The sequence below is a fragment of the Homo sapiens genome, chromosome 22 (genome assembly GCF_000001405.40).
Source record: "Homo sapiens chromosome 22, GRCh38.p14 Primary Assembly".
In the NCBI taxonomy this organism is placed as follows: domain Eukaryota; kingdom Metazoa; phylum Chordata; class Mammalia; order Primates; family Hominidae; genus Homo; species Homo sapiens.
The window spans coordinates 39,154,474-39,173,003 of record NC_000022.11 but is presented as its reverse complement, the minus strand read 5'-3'; the positions used below and the strand labels follow the sequence as shown (position 1 = coordinate 39,173,003).

At 45.6% G+C, this 18,530-nt stretch overlaps 1 pseudogene, besides 1 other annotated feature; it reads right to left on the bottom strand.

Annotated features, from left to right (window-relative positions):
• Positions 501-1,306: an enhancer, noted in NCBI's record as "H3K27ac-H3K4me1 hESC enhancer chr22:39567703-39568508 (GRCh37/hg19 assembly coordinates)". NCBI's record gives its function as "activates a minimal SCP1, AML or CMV promoter by ChIP-STARR-seq in naive and primed H9 embryonic stem cells {active_cell/tissue: H9 hESC(naive and primed)}" and the evidence as "EXISTENCE:reporter gene assay evidence [ECO:0000049][PMID:30033119]".
• Positions 16,741-17,497, bottom strand: FUNDC2P4 (FUN14 domain containing 2 pseudogene 4; annotated as a pseudogene).

The window sequence follows — 18,530 nt, the reverse complement described above, 5'->3', positions numbered from 1 at the left end:
GAATCTGGGGTCTGCTGAATTGGCTTCTTTTCTTTTGAACTTAATAATAATGAGACATAATAGGTGTTCAATCAGGCCGGGCACAGTGGCTCACGCTTGTAATCGCAGCACTTTGGGAGGCCGAAGCAGGCAGATCACCTGAGGTCAGGAGTTTGAGACCAGCCTGACCAAGGTGGTGAAACCCCATCTCTAGTTAAAAAAAAAAAAAAAAAAGTACAAAATTAGCCAGGCGTGGTAGCACACGCCTGTAATCCCAGCTACTTGGGAGGCTGAGGCAAGAGAATTGCTTGGACTCAGGAGGCGGAGTTTGCAGTGAGCTGAGGTCACACCGCTGCACTCCAGCCTGGGCAACAAGAGTGAAACTCCATCTGAAAAAAAAAAAAAAAAAGGTGTTCAATCAATATTTATAGAATGAATGAATGGCAACCACCTTATACTGTGATATTTATTTTGCATACGTTGTCTTGTCAATTCTCACTACAAGCCTAAAAAATAGGCCTCATTCTTCCTGGTTTTACAAATGAGAAAATGGAGGTTCAGAGAGGTTGAGGGACCTGCTCCAGGCTGCACAGCATGCTGTGGTGGAGCAAGATTCCAGCACAGCTGAACCCACCCACCATCTCCCACTGCAGAGTCCACCCCAGCGCTGGGCTCTGTGCTGAACCCACCCACCATCTCCCACTGCAGAGTCCACCCCAGCGCTGGGCTCTGTGCTGAACCCATCCACCATCTCCCACTGCAGAGTCCACCCCAGTGCGGGGCTCTGTGCCAGGCCTGGGGGACACACAGATAACTGAACTCCAACCATGTGCCTGAGTAGCCCCCAGATTAGAGGCCTCAGTTTTCCCAGCTGTGGACTGAGGGCTGGTGGAGGAGTGCTCAGGGAGGGGGCTGCCCAGGGCCCAGCTGGGGGAAGACAACACTGAGACATGGGAGGAAGGGAAGGGTGCCCTGAGAAGAGGCAGGATAACTGTGGGGCGCTTGCAGGAAAGGAGCAGAGGCCAGGGCTTGCTAAGGGGATGAGGGGAGAAGCAGACGTGCTGAGAGGCAGGAGCAGGTGGTCAGAGGCTGGGAGGAAATGGATCTCGGCCGCAGCCCTGGGTCCCAAACACAGGCAGACGGGGGATGGTGCGAGGGGGCTGCACCTGGGGCCTCAGGTGGGACCCGGAAAAGACATGCCTGCCCACACCTCCTCCTGCCCCTCTATCCTCCATCCGGCGCCGCTCGCGCACCTGCCCCTCCGGCCCCCATCCGGCCCGGGGGTGGGAGGAATGAGGACCTCTTCCAATCCCTGGTGGAAATCCTCTCGGGGGCTGTTGAAAGGGGCTGTAGGAAGGGTTGTAGTCTGTGGGTGGCTTGGGTCTGGAGCAAGGGAGGAGAGGGGAGCTGGGCAGAACAGGGAGGCTCCTGGGAAAAGCCCACGGGAGGGGGGCCGGGGCTCCTTGGACAGGAAGGGACAAGGGGTTTCCACGATGGCGGAGGAAGGCGTGCTGGCCTCGGAGCCACCAGGCAGAAGCCCTCATTTTGGTTCTGCTCCACACAAGGGGTGGATCCTCAGCAAGCGATTCCCCTCTCTGGGCCTCAGTTTCCTCATCTGTAACAGGAGGGGATCTGACCGCAGGGAGGGGCAGCAGGCAAGCCCAGTGCTTAAGAGTGTGGGTCTGTTTGGGACTGGACTGTCTGGGCTCGATCCTGGCTCCGGTGGCCGCGCAGACAGGCCCCATGGTGAGCGTCTTCAGAAAACAGGATGTGACCCAGCCTGCAGGTGTGCAAATGTCTAGCTCCATCACCCGATAGCTGCTTTGCAAGACGCTCAGCCTTCTCTTCCATTTTCCCGTGACACACCCATCATCCACAGCCCTCCTCCCTGTACTGTGGAGGGTGCTGATGGTGGACGCTCAGGCAAGGAAAGCAGATGGGGCATGTCCCCTCGAGGACCTGCTGTGGGTCCTGCAGGCTCTGCCTCTGGCTTCCCTGGGGCCCCATCCACCCAACACCGAGCGCTGGGCAGCCGGACGCCGGGAATCTGGCGCCACCTGGTGGGCAGAGAGAATCCTGCTGTCCTCCAGGGCTCTGGACGGGAACTGGGCACCAGGCGTCCTGTAGCCATCCCTCTCTGTTTTTTATTCAACCGGGGCTGACCTTTTTAAGAGTTTAAATTTAATTTTTTGGTCAGGCGTGGTGGCTCACGCCTGTAATCCCAGCACTTTGGGAGGCCGAGGCAGGTGGATCACCTGATGTCAGGAGTTTGAGACCAGCCTGACCAACATGATGAAACCCCGTCTCTACTAAAAATACAAAAATTAGCCAGGCATGTTGATGCGCACGTGTAATCCCAGCTCTACTAGGGAGGCTGAGGCAGGAGAATCGATTGAATCTGGGGGGCAGAGGTTGCAGTGAGCTGAGATCACACCACTACACTCCAGCCTGGGCAACAAGGTGAAACTCCGTCTAAAAATAAATAAAATAAAATGTTAAATTTATTTTTTTTAGGGATGGAGTCTTGCTATGTTGCCCTGGCTGGTCTTGAACTAGGCTCAAGCAATCCTCCCGCCTATAGCTGGGTCCACAAGGGCACCTCTGTAACAGCTTTCCCCACTCCCGCTGCGTAACCCCATCTTCTGCCATCTCCCTGTGGCTTGCTGAAGGCTAGCCCCTCACTGGGCCTTTATCTACTCAAACACAGGACCCCTATTGTGTGCATGGCCCCAGGCAGAGCACCAGGCTGGTGATTGAATCAGGCAGTTCCCTGTCCCTCCCAGAGGAGCTCTCAGGCTGCTGGGGGAAACTCACAGACCACAGCAGGACCAGGGCTGTGGCTAAGGGGAGCCCAGAAGTTTTGGTGGGGGCAGGCAGAGGGGTAGCCAGGGCAGGCTGTGGAGGAGAAGCTGATCAGGCTTCGTTTTGAAAGCTGGAAGCAATAGTAATAGTGGAAGCATTTAGTAAGCAGAGAGCAGGTGTGGAGGTGTGCCATTGCAGAACAGCCCTGAGCTGAGAGCCACCGAGGGGTCGTTCTAGGGAGTGACATGGTCAGTCCACTGCCAGTGCGAGATGGTGGAGGTGGCTGAAGTGAGAGGTGCTGGTGGCTACGTCTTGGAGGGTGGTTGGTGGTTGCTATAGAGACTGGGAGAAGGGGATGGTGAGAGGTGGAGGGAGGTGAGCCAGAGGAGGCCCTGGAACACTCCTTGGGTACCTGGCTTGGCTGGCTCAGTTCACCTGGACAGGTACTGGAAAAAGGGGAGGAGGAGGGGGAGGAAGAAGTGACTTGGGAGAAGAAGAGGGCAGGGCGCTCAGGTCTGGGTATGTTCAGTTTGAGAGGTCGTGGGACCTCCAAGAGGAGCCATCCTGGGGGCAGTTGCAGCGGGATGTGTGATGTAATTAGGGAATAACTCGCAGTACCTGGTGACCTGTGAATTAGGGGGAAAAGTCTAGAATGTTCCCTTGAGATAGCCTAAGACGGTGCTTCTCACAAATAAATGTGCAGGTGAGTCCCCTGGGGGTCCTGCTACACTGCAGGTTCTGACTCAGTGGGTGTGGGGTGGATCCTGGGAATCTGCATTTCTGACAAGCTCTCGAGTGAGGTTGATGCTGCAGGTCTCAGACCACACTTTGAGGACAGAAGGTCTAAGACACTTAGAGGATGGTGGCAGTTGTCCTTGACATCAGGAACCCACATAGAGGTGGAGGTGGGTCTGAGAGTTTGGGTTTTTACAAGCTCTACAGATAATTTTGATGCCTGAGCAGGTAACGCGAGCCAGACATGGGTACAGACATACTGGGGGTGGGAAGGGGTGGCTGCATAATTTGTGGGGTCCCATGCAGAATGAAAACATGGAGCCCTTTGTTCAACAATTGTTATGAATTTCAAGACAGCAGAGCATTAAGCCACATGCCTGGCCCTTTGAGGAGGGAAGTCCTGTGTGACTGACTGACCACCTGCCCATGAAGGTGGTCCTCCTGGGGCGGGGGTTTGAGGCAGGAAGGTGAGGGGCTTCTCCTCTGATGACGTCTGTTTCCCCTCTGAAAGGAGAAGCCTCAGCTCAGTGGAGGGCACTATGCTTTCCCAGACTGGGGCATCCAAACTGACCTTCTACCTGCCCCATACCCCAGTTAATTCACCACATCTTTTCTCTCTCTCTAATCTGATTACCTCTCTCCATTCTCCTGCAGGGCCATAGTCTAGGCCATGCTCTTGTCTTTGCTGGGCCATGCAGAGGCTTCCTGAGTAGCCCACCCACCTCAGTCCTGTTTCCCTCCAGCGAAGGTCCACAGGCAGTTGCAGAGGCCCCCCGACTGCCTTCCCTTAGAGATTATATTCAGGGCCTCTTTTTTTGGTATTTACACATCAAAATTATACCTGTGTAATGTATATATATGTATTTTCTTATTATATGGATACACACGTCATTATACATGCATATAATTTATATTTATAATGTGTACATATACACACATATCATATAGTTCTGCAAGATTCTTTTTTTTTTTTTGAGACAGGATCACGCTCTGTCACCCAGGCTGTAGTGCAGTGGTGTGATCTCAGCTCACTGCAACCTCCACCTCCTGGGTTCAAGTGATTCGCCTGCCTCAGCCTCCTGAGTAGCTGGGATTACAGGTGCATGCCACCCCACCCGGCTAATTTTTAGTAGAGATGGGGTTTCACCATGTTGGTCAAGCTGGTCTCAAACTCCTGACCTCATGATCTGCCGCCCTCAGCTTCCCAAAGTGCTGAGATTACAGGCATGAGCCACCGCGCCTGGCCCTCTGCAAGGTTCATTGAGAAAAATAATATTCCCCACCCTGTTTTACCTCTTTCCAGAGGCAACCATTTCAGTTCCTTTAGCTGGTTCTTTTGTGTAAACCACGAAAACTGCATGCTATGGGCCACTTCTGGATCTTTTGGTGTTTAACATTACCTATTGATGGCTACTATAGAGTGGGAGGGTATGGCTCTCCTCTGCTCCTCCTTTCCCTCCATTCTCCCAGCATAATAATATTGTCCTTTTGGTTATAGCAATATCCAGTATTATATCATTAAGATTATGTCAGTTTGCTTCATAGCTGAGCCACATGGTATACTATGACTACTTTCACTTCTCAAAATTAACTGTATTTTTTCTGGGCTTTCTATTTGTCTTTTATTTTGCTTCATTTTATTTTATTTATTTTGAGACAGGGTCTCACTCTGTCACCAAGGCTGGAGCGCAGTAATGTGATCACAGCTCACTGCACCCTCAACCCCATGAGCTCAAGCCATCCTCCCACCTCAGCCTTCTGAGTAGCTGGGACTACAGGCACATACCACCACACCCAGCTAATTTTTGATATTTTGTAGAGACTAGGTCTCACTATGTTGCCCAGGCTGGTCTTGAACTCCTGTATACAGCAAGTCTTCCTCCTGCCTCAGCCTCCCAAAGTGCTGGGATTACAGGTGTGAGCCACTGTACCTGGCCTGCTTCATTTTTTAAAATGTGCTTATTACTAGTTTGATCGCAGACATCCTGCCAATTACCTAAGCCATCTCAATGCTTTTGGGCCCATCAGCTATTCCGTCAATTTCATCTTCCTGAAGGCAGCTCTCCCAGTGCCTCCTAAGTTGCTGTGGTTTGAACCGACTCTCCTCTGCACCCAGGCTATACCCGTTGTTCTGGAAATCTCCTTCAGTTCTCTCCTTTCCCCCTGGCTCTCATGACTTCTTTTTGTTGTTGTTGTTGCTTTGTTTTGTTTTTTTGAGACAGAGTCTCACTCTGTCACCCAGGCTGGAGTGCAGTGGCATGATCTTGGCTCACTGCAACCTTCATCTCCTGGATTGAATAAATTCTGTTGCCTCAGCCTCCCAAGTAGCTGAAATTACAGGTGCCTACCACCATGCCCGGCTAATTTTTGTATTTTTAGTAGAGACAGGGTTTTGCCATGTTGGCCAAGCTGGTCTCGAACTCCTGACCTCAGGTGATCCACCCACCTCAGCCTCCCAAAGTGCTGGGATTACAGGCATGAGCCACCACGCCCAGCCTCCCATGACTTCTTATTTGTTTTACTCCATCTTTTTGGTGGCAAAAATCCTGCAGTATCTTCCTGAGAAAGAGTGCATGGGCAATAAAATTTGGGAGACTTTGCGTGTCTGAAATGTTTTTGTGTCCCTCCTCATACTTCTTTGGTAGTTTGGTTAGGTATAGAATCCTAAGTTGAAATGATGTTTTTCCAGGAATGTGAAGGGATTCCTCTATCGTCCTCCTACTTCTACTGTCTCTATTGAGCAGTCTGAAGTCATTCTGGGTCATCATTTTTGTATATGACCCATTGGTTGTTTTTTTTTTTTTTTTTTTAACAGAATCTTGCATTGTCACCCAGGCTGGAGTGCAGTGACGTGATCTCGGCTCACTGCAACCTCCATCTCCTGGGTTAAAGCGATTCTCCTGCCTCAGCCTCCTGAGTAGCTGGGATTACAGGTGCATGACACCATGCCTGGCTAATTTTTCTATTTTTAGTAGAGAGGGGATTTCACCATGTCGGTCAGGCTGGTCTTGAACTCCTGACCTCGTGATCTGCCCACCTCAGCCTCCCAAAGTGCTGGGATTACAGGTGTGAGCCACTGCACTTTCTCAATCTAATAAAGGGTGTCTACACAAATCTATAGCCGACATCACAAATTCTGGTAAAAATCTGAGTGCTATCTCCCTAAGATCAAGAAGAAAGCAAGTATATTTACTTTCAATATTTCTATTCAACATTGTACTGAAGGTCTTAGCCAGTGCAATAAGGCAAGAAAAAGAAAGGCATACAGATTAGAAATAAATTAAAGCTGTCGTTATTCACAGACATTATCATCTATATAGAAAACTGAGACAGGCTCTGTGGCTCATACTAGTAATCCCAGCACTTTGGGAAGCTGAGACAGGCAGATCACTTGAGGTCAGGAGTTCGAGACTAGCCTGGCCAACATGGTGAAACCCTGTCTTTACTAAAAATACAAAAACTAGCTGGGCGTGGTGGCTTATGCCTGTAACCCCAGCTACTTGGGAGTCTGAGGCAGGAGAATCACTTTAATCCAGGAGGTGGAGGTTGCAGTGAGCCGAGATTGTGCCATTGCATTCCAGCCTGGGCAACAAGAGCAAAAACCTTTGTCTCAAAAAAAAAAAAAAAAAAAAAAGAAAGAAAGAAAAAAGAAAACTGGACCAGGTATCCTGGCTCATACCAGTAATCCCAGCACTTGGGAAGGCTGAGGCAGGCGGATCACCTGAGGTCAGGAGTTCAAGACCAATCTGGCCAACTTGATGAAACCCGGTCTCTACTAAAAATACAAAAAATTAGGTGGGCGTGGTGGCGCACACCTGTAATTCCAGCTACGAGGGAGGCTGAGGCAGGAGAATCACTTGAACCCAGGAGGCAGAGGTTACAGTGAGCCGAGATGGCACCACTGCACTCCAGCCTGGGCGACAGAGCAAGACTTCATCTCAAAAAAGAAAAAGAAAAAGAAAAACGAAAAAAAGAAAACTGAATGGAATTCACAAAAAAGCTAGTGGAACTAACAAGCGAGTTTTGCAGTGTTGTCAAATACAAGCCCAATATAAAGAAATACCATTGAGTTGTATAAGCTAGTCATGAACAATTAAAATAGAAAATTAGAAACACCACTTAACAATGGCCATGAAACACTTAGGGATAACCTGGTGAAGATGTGAAACTGCAGTTGTACCCCCAAACTGTAGAACATTGCTTATAGAAACTAAACAGAACCTAAATAATGAAGAGATAGAATGTTTTCATGGGTTGGAAAATTCAATATTGTTAAGATGTAAATTATTTCCAAATTGATCTATAGATGCAAAATAATCCCAATAAAAATATCAGTAGTCTTTTTTCTTTTTGGTAGAAATTGACAATGTGCCCTTTGCCCTTTATATGAAAGGGCAAAGGATCTAGAAAAGCCAAAAAAAAAAAAAAAAAAAAAAAAGAACAAAGTTACAAGACTTAGACTACCTGATTTTAAGACTTAATATAGGGCTGGGCATGGTGACTGATGCCTGTAATCCCAACACTTTAGGCGACCAAGGTGAGAGGATCGTTTGAGGCCTGTAGTTGGAGACCAGCCTGAGCAACATAGTGAGACCCCATTGCTACAATTTTTTTTTTTTTTAATTAGCCAGGCATGGTGGCACACACCTGTGGTCCCAGCTACGCAGGAGGCTGAGGGAGAAGGATCACTTGAGCCCAAGTGATCAAGGAACAGAATTGAGAGTTCAGAATTTAATCCATGCACATAAAAGCAACTGACTTTTGATAAATGTGTTAAGGCAATTCAGTAAGGAGAAGTACAGTCTTTCTAACAAAAGGTGCTGGAACAATCGATTAACCTTATGGAGAAAAAAATGAACCTTGACCCTCACCCCACATCATATATAAAATTAACCCAAAATGGATCCTATTCTGCAATGTGAGAGCTTTTGTTCTTCAAAAGACATCATTTAAAAAATTAAAAGGTGGCCAGATGCAGCGGCTCATGCCTATAATCCCAGCACTGTGAGAGGCCAAGGCAGGTGGATTGCTTGAGTTCAAGAGTTCGAGACCAGCCTGAGCAATAGTGCCAAACCCTATCTCTACAAAAAAAATGCAAAAATTAGCCGGGCATGGTGGTGTGCATCTATAGTCCCAGCTACTTAGGAGGCTGGGGTGGGAGAATTACTTGAGCCTGGGAGGTCAAGGGTACAGTCAGCCATGATCATGCCATGGCACTCCAGCATGGGTGACAGGGTGAGGCCCTAGCTCAAAAAAAAAGAAAGAAAGGAAAAGAAAAAAGAAAGAAAAAAATTAAAAGGCAAACCAGTCTTGGTGAAAATATTTATATAAAGAAATCTTTTTTTTTTTTTTTTTTTTTTTTTTTGAGACAGAGTCTTGCTCCGTTTGCCCAGGCTGGAGTGCAGTGGTGCCATCTTAGCTCACTACAACCTCTGCCTCCTGGGTTCAAGTGATTCTCATGTCTCAGCCTCTCAAGTAGCTGGGATTACAGGCACACACCACCATGCCCGGCTAATTTTTGTATTTTTAGTTGAGACGGGGTTTCACCATGTTGGTCAGGCTGGTCTCAAACTCCTAACCTCAAGTATCTGCCTGACTCGGCCTCCCAATGTGCTGGGATTACAGGTGTGAGCCACCATGACTGGCCAAAAATTCTTGTAACTCAAGACTAAGAAGATGATCTGATTTTTAAAATGGGCAAAATATTTGAAAACGCATTTCACCAAAGAGGATATATGAATGGCAAATAACTACTTGAAAGGGTCCTCAACATCATTAGCCATTAGAGAAATGCAAATTCTCTACATTCAGTCAGTATATGGGCAATAAATAGCTAAAATTGAAGATTGACAATATCAAGAGTTGGTGAGGATGTGGAGCAACTGGAACTCTCAAATAGTGTTGGTGGAAATGCAAAATAGCACAGCTACATTAGAAAACAGTTTGGAATTTTCTTTAAAAGTTACTATACATGGCCAGGTGCCATGGCTCACACCTGTAATCCCAGCACTTTGGGAGGCCGAGGCGGGTAGATCACCTGAGGTCAGGGGTTCAAGACCAGCCTGACCAACATGGAGAAACACTGCCTCTACTACAAATACAAAAATTAGCTGGGCGTGGTGGTGCGTGCCTGTAATCCCAGCTACTTGGGAGGCTGAGGCAGGAGAACTGCTTGAGCCCAGGAGGCGGAGGTTTCAGTGAGCCAAGATCACGCCACTGCCCTCCAGCCTGGGCAACAAGAGCAAGACTCCATCTCAAAAAAAAAAAAAAAAAAAAAGTTAAAGTTACCATACATAGGCCAGGCACAGTGGCTCATGCCTGTAATCCCAGCACTTTGAGAGGCCAAGGTGGGTGGATCACGAGGTCAGGAATTTGAGACCAGCCTAACCAACATAGTAAAACCCCATCTCTACTAAAAATACAAAAATTAGGCCGGGTGCGGTCGCTCACGCCTGTAATCCTAGTACTTTGGGAGGCCGAGGCAGGTGGATCACCTGAGGTCGGGAGCTCGAGACCAGCCTGGCCCACATGGCAAAACCCCATCTCTACTAAAAATACAAAAAAATTAACCAGGTGTGGTGGCAGATGCCTGTAATCCCAGCTACTCGGGAGGCTGAGACAGGAGAATCACTTGAACCCGGGAAGTGGAGGTTGCAGTAAGCCGAGATCACACTACTGCACTCCAGCCTGGGTGACAGAGTGAGACTGTCTAAAAAGAAGAAGAAGAAGAATTGTTCCACATTCTTGCCAGTGCTTGCAAGATTTTTTTTTTAACGGTCTCTCGCTGTCACCCAGGCTGGAGTGCAGTGGCGTGATCATATCTCACTGCAGCCTTGAACTCCTGGGCTCAAGTGATCCTCCCACCTCAGCCTCCTGAGTAGCTCAGAGTACAGGCATGCACCACCACACCTGGCTAATTTCTGATTTTTTTGTAGAGACAAGGGTCTTGCTATATTGCACAAGCTGATCTCGAACTCCTGGGCTCAAGCAATCCTCCCACCTCAGCCTCCCAGAGTATTGGGTTTACAGGCGTGAGCCACCACACCTAGCCTGCTTGCAATAATTTTTAAAACGGACTTTAACATTTTTGTTAATCAGTCGTATCTCATTGTGGGATTTTATTTGCGTTACTCATGAGCTTGAACAACTTTTCACAACTGTTGGCCACTGGTGATTCCTCTCTTTGCCTGTCCAAGTCTTTGCCACATTCTGCACTCCTGTATTTTGCTACAACTGATTGTCCATCTTCCCACTTGATTCACAGGAACTCTTTACATCACCTCCTTTGTCCATTTATGAGTGTTTTAAATATTTTTCTTTTCTGTTCACTTTATATATATTTTCTTCTTTTCTTTTCTTTTTTTTTTTGAGACGGAGTCTCACGTTGTCGCCCAGACTGGAGTGCAGTGGTGCCACCTCAGCTCACTACAACCTCTGCCTCCTGGGTTCAACCCTGCCTCAGCCTCCCGTGCAGCTAGAATTACAGGTGCCTGCCACCACGCCTGGCTAATTTTTGTAGTTTTTAGTAGAGATGGAGTTTTGTCATGTTGGCCAGGCTGGTTTGAACTCCTGACCTCAGGTGATCTGCCCGCCTCAGCCTCCCAAAGTGCTGGGATTACAGGTGTGAGCCACCGCGCCTGGCTCTTTTTGTTTTGTTGTTTGTTGGTTTGGAAATGGAATTTCACTCTTGTTGCCCAGGCTGGAGTACAGTGGTGCAATCTCGGCTCACTGCAACCTCCGCCTCCCAGGTTCAAGCGATTCTTCTGAGTACCTGGGATTACAGGCACCCACCACCACGGCCGGTAATTTTTTGTATTTTTAGTAGAAACGGGGTTTCACCATGTTGGCCAGTCTGGCCAGGCGGGTCTCGAACTCCTGAACTCAGGTGATCCACACACCTCAGCCTCCCAAAGTGCTGAGATTATAGGCATGAGCCACCGCTCCTGGCCTTGTTTTTTTAAGACAGGGTCTCACTCTGTCACCCAGGCTGGAGTGCAGTGGCACGATCTCAGCTCACTGCAACCTCCACCCCACAGGTTCAAGCGGTTCTCCTGCCTCAGCTTTTCAAGTCGCTGGCTGACTTTATATGTATTTTCATAAAGAAAGCTCATAGTTTTAATGGAGTCTAAGTTATCAATTGTTTCCTATATGAATTATGTTCCTGGTTTCTTGTTTAAGAAACGATTCCCTACTTCATGATCATAAAGATAAAGATATTTTAAAATATCATCTTCTAAAAGTTTCAGAATTTTGTCTTTCACATTTAGGATTTGAAGTCAGATGGAGTCAATTTTTGCCAGGCAGGAGGTCTAATGGTCTAATTTCCTGTATGAATAACTATCACCATTTATTGAAAAGTGTATCCTTTACCCAGTGACTGCAATTTTATTCTCTCTCTCTCCTTCTCTCTTTGACTAAGCTCTCATTGTCATTCCTTTTTTTCTATTTGTCTAGTCTTGAACAATAGGACATTGTTTTATTTGCTATAGCTTTATGTCTTGTTGTTGTTTTTTTTTGTTTGTTTTTTGTTTTAAACAGTCTCGCTCTGTCACCCAGGCTGGAGTGCAGTGGAGCCTGAACCTCCCAGGCTCAAGCGATCCTCCTACCTTAGCTTCTAGAATAGCTGGGATCATAGATAGCTACATGCCACCATGCCTGACTAAATTTTGTATTTTTAGCAGAGATGGAGTTTTGCCATGTTGGCCAGGCTGGTCTCGAAATCCTGACCTCAAGTGATCCTCCCGCCTTGGCCTCCCAAAGTGCTGGGATCACAGGTGTGAGCCACCGTGCCCGGCCAAAAAAATAAATTTAGATCTTCTTTAATGTCTTGCAATATAATTTTATGATTTTATTCCATAAGGGCCTTGCATATTTTCATTAGATTTATTCCCAGATATCTTACATATTTTTATTATAATATAAATAATATTTTACTTCATTTTCTAATTATTACTGGCATATGGAAACACAAAACACAATAGGTTTTTGTCTGTTGATATTTTATCCAACAATTTGCTAAATTTTCTTATTAATTATAATAAATATTCTGAAGATTTTTAAAATTTTCTACATAAAATCTGAAAATAATGATGGTCTTCTTTCTTTCTTTCTTTTTTGAGACAGAGTCTCACTCTGTAGCTCAGGCTGGAGTGTATTGGTGCGATCTTTGCTCACTGCAACCTCCGCCTCCCAGGTTCAAGCAATTCCCCTGCCTCAGCCTCCCGAATAGCTCGGACTACAGGTGCAAGCCACCACGCCCGACTAATTTTTGTATTTTTAGTAGAGACGGGATTTCACTATGTTGACCAGGCTGGTCTCAAACTCCTGACCTTGTGATCCGCCCACCTCAGCCTCCCAGAAGACTTCACCTATAAGCTATTGAAGGCCTCCTAAAGTGCTGGGATTACAGGCATGAGCCACCACGACTGGCTGATGGTCTTATTTCAAATCACTTCACCTTTCTTTCATTTGTTGTCTTTTTTTTTTTTTTTTTTTTTTTTTTTTTGAGACCGTCTTTCTGTGTCACTCAGGCTGGAGTGCAGTGGTGCCATCTCAGCTCACTACAACCTCTGCCTCCTGAGTTCAAGCAATTCTCCTGCCTCAGCCTCTCCAGCAGCTGGGATTACAAGTGCCCACCACCACACCTGGCTAATTTTTGTATTTTCAGTAGAGATGGGGTTTCACCATGTTGACCAGGGTGGTCTTAAGCTCCTGACCTAAGGTGATTCACCTACCTTGGCCTCTCAAAGTGCTGGCATTACATGAGTGAGCCACTGCACCTGGCCTCATATAACTTTTGACTCTCCCAAAACTTAACTACTAATAATCTACTGTTGATTGGAAGCCTTACCTATAACATAAACAGTCAATGAACGCATATTTTATATGCTACATGCATTATATATTGTATTCTTACCATAAAGTAAGCCAGACAAAAGAAAATGTTATTAAGAAAATCATAAGGAAGAGAAAATATATTTACTCTTCATTAAGTGGAAGTGGATCATCATAAAGGTCTTCATCTCTTCATGCTTTGTAGGCTGAGGAGGAGGAGGAAAAGGAGGGGTGGGTCTTGCTGTCTTGCCACCTCCCAGAGGTGGAAGAAGACTCATGAATAAGTGGACCCACATAGTTCATACCTGTGTTGTTCAAGGATCAACTGTAATTTAAAATTTTCTAAAATCTTCATTAAAAATTAATTTATAGGCCAGGCGCGGTGGCTCACGCCTATAATCCCAACACTTTGGGAGGCCAAGGCGAGCGGATCACCTGAGGTCAGCAGTTCGAGACCAGCCTGACCAACATGGCAAAACCCCATCTCTTCTAAAAATACAAAATTAGCTAGGCATGGTGGTGCATGCCTGCAATCCCAGCTACTCAGGAGGCTGAGGCAGGAGAATCGCTTGAACCTGGGAGGCGGAGGTTGCAGTGACCTGAGATCACGCCATTGCACTCCAGCCTGGGCAAGAAGAGTAAAACTCCGTCTCAAAAAAAAAAAAAAGATGAATTTTTTGTTTAACCTAATGTATCAAAATATTATCATTTCCATATTAAATAAATATCAACTTATTAATGAGGCATTTTACATGTTTTGGGTACTAAATCTTTGAAATCTGGCCTGTATCTAATTTTATTCTTCTGTCTGAGTTCGAACTAGTCACATTTCAAATGCTTGACAGTCACATTTGGCCAATGGCCACCACAGTGGGCAACAGATTCAGGATATCCAGTGTGATGTTTAGCAGAAATGGGGATTCATCCAATCTTGCCTTGTAACTGATCTCAAGGGGATGTTTTCCACATTTCAACATTCATTAAGATATTTGCTGTAGGTTTTTTATAGAGCCCTCTACCAGGATAAAGACATTCCCTTGTGTTGATAGTTTGCTACAAGTTTTAAAACAAACAGATGTTGAACTATTTCTGCATATACTGAGATGATCACATGTCTTCCTCCTTTAATTTTTTTTTTTTTTTTTTGAGTGGAGTTTGCTCTAGTTGCCCAGGCTGGAGTACAACGACACGACCTTGGCTCACTCCAACATCCACCTCCCGGGTTCAAGCGATTCTCCTGCCTCAGCCTCCGGAGCAGCTGGGATTATAGGCACCCGCCACCATGCCTGGCTAATTCTCCTTTCATTTTTTAATGAGGCAAATTATATTGACTGGTTTTCAAATGTTAAACCAACCTTGCATTTCTGGATTAGACCCAATTTTACCACTATGTAGTATCATTTTTACATACTGCTCAATTTGATTTGCTGTTTTATTTAGGATTTTGGTATCTATATTCATAAGTGACATTGGCCTGTAATTTTCTCTTGTGCTGTACTTGCCATATGAAGAATTGGGAAGCAGTCTCTCTTTTTCTATTATGTGGAAAAGTTGGGGGTAGCATTGGAATGAGTTCTTTCAAGAGCTTATAGGTGAAGTCTTCTGGGTCTGAGCTTTCTTTGTGGAAGCATTACCGGTTTCCTTCCTTTAATCATTATGGGGAGGTCTGATGTCCAGCTGGTGCCATAGGACTTCAGGTTGCTCAAATTCCAAAATAATTTCATACCAATTGGTATGTAGCCGCTACGATCAACCTCCTAAGTGCAATGACTCTTCCAGGGATGCCCCAGATCCCCCAGACCTTCTGATGTCACATAAATCACGGAATTACTGCCTGGACAGCCTTCTGGACCCTGCTCCATGTGAAGGCTGGAAAGTGTTTCAAATGGTCAGTAACTGGCTATGAAAGTATTTCATAATTTGGTACTATGACTAGGGATGGTACTCATTCGGGTTTTCTCTTCATCTTGCGACCATTTTGGTAAGGCATATTTTCCTAGGAACTTGCCCCTTTCATTCAAATTTTTACGCTATTGTAATGAGACTATTCATAATATCCTCTTTTATTTTCCTTTTTAAAATGTCTACAGGTTCTGTAACTTTTAATTACTGATATTAGTTAATTGTGTTTTCTCTCTTTTTTCTTGATCAATTTCAACAGGAGTCGTCCATGCCATTAGTCTTTTCACAGAAATAATGTTTGGTTTTGCTGATCCCATTTCATTATTTTCTCTTTACCATTTCTTCTTCTTCTTTTTTCTTTCTTTCTTTTTTTTTTTTTTTTTTTTTGAGATGGAGTCTCACTCTGTTGCCCAGGCTGGAGTGCAGTGGCATGATATAGGCTCACTGCAACCTCCGCCTCCAGGGTTCAAGCAATTCTCCTGCCTCAGCCTCCTGACTAGCTGGGAGTACAGGCACGAGCCACCAAGCCTGCTCATTTTTATATTTTTAGTAGAGATGGAATTTTGCCATGTTGCCCAGGCTGGTCTTAAACTTCTGACCTCAGGTGATACGTCTGCCTTGGCCTCCGAAAGTGTTGGGATTACAGGCGTGAGCCACTGTGCCTGGCCTATTTTCTCCTGTACCTTTACTCTTGCCTTCCTTTCATTTTCTTTGGTTTATTCTGCTGCTCTTTTTCTAGCTTCTTGAAACGAGCGCTTGTTCATTACTCTCAGCCTTTTCTCTTTACTAATATAAGCACAAAAGGCAATAAACTTCCCTCTAAGAAGCGCACTAGCCATAGCCCAACATTTTTACTATGTAATATTTCTATTGTCATTCAGTTAAAAATATTTTTTTCATGCTTAAAGGCAAATGTATTCAGTTCCTTTCCATGCAGCACACAATAAGTTTATCTATGTGCTTATTTCTTTTCCAAATCAACAGTTTGAGACAACCTTTCAGGGTCTGCTCATCCTCCATGGCGAGTCATCTTGCAATGTGATCTGGTAAGTGTCTTGCATGGGGGAAAAGGAACCTTCTTGCTGACCTACAGATTGGCCACATACGGGGTGTATGGGAGGAGACCTAACAACTATTGCCTCTTCTGCCACCATCAAGCTCATGGTAGGGCCACATTAACTTTTTTTTTTTTTTTGGAGACGGAGTCTCACTCTGTCACCCAGGCTGGAGTGCAGTGGCGCGATCTCAGCTCACTGCAACCTCCGCCTCCCGGGTTCAAGCAACTCTCCTGCCTCAGTCTCCCAAGTAGCTGGGATTATAGGTGCCTGCCACCACGTCTGGCTAATTTTTTTTTTTTTTGTATTTTAGTAGAGATGGGGTTTCATCATATTGCCTAGGCTGGTCTCAAACTCCTAAGCTCCGGCAATCCACCCGCCTCGGCCTCCCAAATTGCTAGGATTACAGGCATGAGCCACCGCACTTGGCCAAGGGCCACATTAACTTGTACCAAGAGATGCTTATAGAAGCCACTCGGATTTGCTACAGCAGGGAGGAAGGCACAGGAGAAGAGGAGAGACTTGATGTCCTATGATGGAGTGTAGAGACTGCTGGATGGAAAAAAAACAAGAACAATGAAAATAAGGTCATCTTCCTTAGGATGCCATGCCAAACAGAAAGCCTCCGAAAAATCCCCCAGTCACTAGAACATTCTTCACAAACGACACCACCTCCTCAGCTTTGCTCCTGACCTTGGTAGGTATCTGATTGCTCTTAAGGGATCTTCAGCAGCTCTTTGGCTTTCTTTATATCTTTCTCCACTCGTTGCCAGTCAACTTTGATGTACCCAGTATGATTTGCAAGCTGAAGGAGAAAAAAACAAAACACCTCCCACAACTGTTACAGCCAACTTTCCAACCTTCTGGGATATGAAACCCGTGCACCATTCAGTGACACCCCCAATGAACGGCTGGGTTGCCACCCTTCACTTTTCGGGGAAGGTCCAGATTCCTGCCTGAACAGCTTACACCACCATGGCTGTTTCTTAGCAAATTCCACAAGGTCCAGCGACTCAAAATTTCCCTCAAAGTTTGCTTGACTGGACTCGGCCATTTCATCGAGCTTGTCTTGCGAGGACACACGCAGAGGATCCGCGCTGTAGGAGGCGGAGTGGCACACAGAGTCATCACCACTGGTTGGCTTCCAGCACGAGGGACAGATTTCCATTCCCACGGCGACAGCGGAAGAGCAGTTAAAAATATTTTATAATTTCCATTACAATTTCTTTTTTTTGAACCGCTAGTTAACATAAAAACGTACCTCTTCCGTGGCTCATGCCTGTAATTGTAGCATTTTGGGAGGCCAAGATGGTTGAATCACCTGAGGTCAGGAGTTCGAGACCAACCTGGCCAACATGGTGAAACCCCACCTCTACTAAAAAGACAAAAATTAGCTGGGGGTGGTGGCGGGTGCCTATAATCCCAGCTACTTGGGAACCTGGGAGGCAGAGGTTGTAGTGAGCCAAGATCGTGCCACTTCACTTCAGCCTGGGTGAAAGAGCAAAACTCTGTCTCAAAATAAATAAATAAATATAATGAAAAACAAAAACAAAAAAACCCATACTTCTTACTTTCCAAACATATGGGGCTTTTGAAGTGAACTTTTTATTATTCATCTCTAGCTTATATGTGTTGTGGTCAGAGAATGTATTCTGTTATTTCTGACTTTTGAAATTTATTGAAATGAACTGTTTTTGTAAGTATTCCATGTCTTGTAAAGGGGAGTATTTTACCATGGTAGATAACAGTGTGCTATGAAGTCCATTAGTTAAGTTTATTAATTGTGTTCAAATCTCCTATATACTATTGAATATTTTTCTTCTTCTCCTACCACTTATGGAGGGGTGAGTGTTAAGATCTCCCACTATAATTGTGGATTTGTCTATCTCTCCATCTAGCTGTCTTCTTCATGTTTCTTATATTTTAAGATGATTTGCATACAAATGTGAAATTGTTCTATTTTTCTGGTGAATTGGACACTTTTCATTATGAAATGACCTTATTTATCTCTAGTGATGTTTTTCCCTCGATATTAAAATAACTGCACCAGCCTTCTTTTCGTTAGCATTTGCGTGGTATTTTCCCCCCATGTGTTTACTTTTGACCATCACTAGCTTTATGTTTTGGAAGTGTCTCTTGTGGGTTTCTCTTGTAAACTGCATCTAGCTATTTATGCATTCTGATAATCTTTGTATTTTAACTGCAATATTTAGTTGCATTTAT